General features: G+C 31.2%; 2 annotated features.

Annotated features, from left to right (window-relative positions):
- Positions 1428 to 1597: an enhancer, noted in NCBI's record as "experimental_65484 CRE fragment used in MPRA reporter constructs". NCBI's record gives its function as "activates a minimal promoter by MPRAs in K562 erythroleukemia cells, with activity observed for both the introgressed and non-introgressed 3:154250890 or rs115812451 variant alleles {active_cell/tissue: K562}" and the evidence as "EXISTENCE:reporter gene assay evidence [ECO:0000049][PMID:34662402]".
- Position 1512: a transcriptional cis regulatory region, noted in NCBI's record as "Neanderthal adaptively introgressed variant 3:154250890 (GRCh37/hg19 assembly coordinates) or rs115812451 in the experimental_65484 CRE". NCBI's record gives its function as "modulates activity of the experimental_65484 enhancer by MPRAs in K562 erythroleukemia cells {active_cell/tissue: K562}" and the evidence as "EXISTENCE:reporter gene assay evidence [ECO:0000049][PMID:34662402]".

Here is a 2021-nt window from a genome sequence, read left to right as displayed (position 1 = left end):
ATAAAACTAATGGGTCAATTAGAAAACAAGTAAAAAAGATCATATATAAAAACCCAAATGAATCAAAATTACACTAAATGTAAATTACATGCTTTCTTGTCTTACTAAATTTTCATAAAAATTAGTTTTAGCTTGCTGGACAATGAAAAGACCATAGAACACTTTAACTCCATTTACATTCACCTCACCTGCTTTGGTACTATTCTTGTGTATTTCAATGCCACCTGTGTGCAAGTGTGTGTGTGTGTCTCTCAGATAGTCACGATTCATTTTTAAATGTTTTAAATAGTTAATATTGATTTAGATTTACTCATATATCTTCTTGCATGTACTGGGATAATTTTTCTTCTGCCTAAAGAACATCCCTTAGTATTTCCTTTAATGTATGTCTGCTGATAATGGATTCTCTGCCTTTTTTCCCAAAAATATTTTATATTACCTTCATTTTTGAAGGAAATTTTTACTTATTATAGAATTATAGGTTGACAGTGATTTTTTCTCAGCACTTGGAAGATTTCAACCCACTCTCATTTATTTCTATTGAGAAATCAGCTGTCAGCCTTAGTGTTGCTCCTGTGAAGGTAATGTATTCATCTTCTTGGGATGCTTTTAAGGTTTCCCTTTATTTGGGGTTTTGAGTAGTTTTACTACAGTGGTATGATGTTTTCTGCATTTATTCTGCTGAAAACTCACAAAAATTCTTGAGAAAATCTATAACATTATCTCTATAGTCAATTTTGAAAAATTCCTGGATATTAAATTTCCAAATACTGCTTTTGTCAAATTCCTTCTCCACTCACTTTCTTGAATTCCTAATTTACATATGGTACATAATTTTATTATATCCATTACAGATATACATTGCTGTATATTCTTCCTATCTCTGTAATCTAGCCTAGATATTTCCTCTTACTCATTTTCTAGTATACTAATTCTCTGTTCAAGTGAGTTAAATCTGTTAAGACCACCTCTTGATTTCATAATTATTGTGTTTTTAAACTGGCTCTAGATTTTTCAATTAATTTTTCATAGTATTCAATTATTTCTTGAATGTTTTCCCCTTGCCATTTTCTGGAATATATTAACAATTGCTATTTTAAAGTCAGTGTCTATTAATTCCAATATTCACATCTCCTGTGAATCTATTCTTATGTTTTAAGATAAAAATTTAAATGTATATATCATATATCTCATATACATCGTATAAGATAATTCACATATGTATAACAAAACCAAAAATATAGTATATGTATGTATTACTTTGTGCATGCTTGGTTTTTTTTTTATTGACTGACAGAAATTGCCTATAGTCAAAGGAAGACAAATTTAAGTCCTGAGTGATGTCATCTTCCACCAGAGAGTGTTACTTTTCCTTCTGGCAGACATTTGAGTAGGAGTAGATTATATTAATTCATTAAGATATTAATTATTTCAAGGCTGGGCTTCAGTCATTTTGAGGCTTGGTCTTCTTTTGTTCACCTTATTTCTTTAGGTTCACAATGGAAAGCCTTGTGTGTTATTAGCACCTCATCTCTTTGTGGGCCCTAAACTCCAGTTTTGTTTTGATTTGTTTTACACAGCTATGTGGGAATGCCACAAGCTCTCTTGCTTTTCAACCTCTTGGCTACTGATTTCTTATCAGTTTAACTTCTCTGCTGCCACTTTAGAGTTGAAAATACTTGGAAAGAAAATGTAACATTTAACATTATGCTCACTTCTCTGAGAATCTTAGCCTCTCAAGAATCTTCAGAATATTAGGCTAAGAATCTCCAGAATCTTAGCCTCTCAAGCCTCAATCCCTTCATAGCTCTCTGATGCTATCAGATACATGCTGTCTACATGAGTCTTTCTTTTTAGCTGCTTTCAGTGAGAGATTTGATCTATAACAAGCTAGTCTGCTGTTACTGGAAGAAGAAGTTTATTATAATAAATATTGATGTAAAAGAAAAATATATAGAATGAACTATAATGCAAAGAGACTAAAATCATCTCTTAAACACAATAAACTCTTGAGTTGACGA

This window comes from Homo sapiens, chromosome 3 (assembly GCF_000001405.40).
Source record: "Homo sapiens chromosome 3, GRCh38.p14 Primary Assembly".
Classification (NCBI taxonomy): Eukaryota; Metazoa; Chordata; class Mammalia; order Primates; family Hominidae; genus Homo; species Homo sapiens.
The sequence above is the reverse complement of the archived record's forward strand: the minus strand, read 5'-3'. Positions and strand labels throughout refer to the sequence as shown.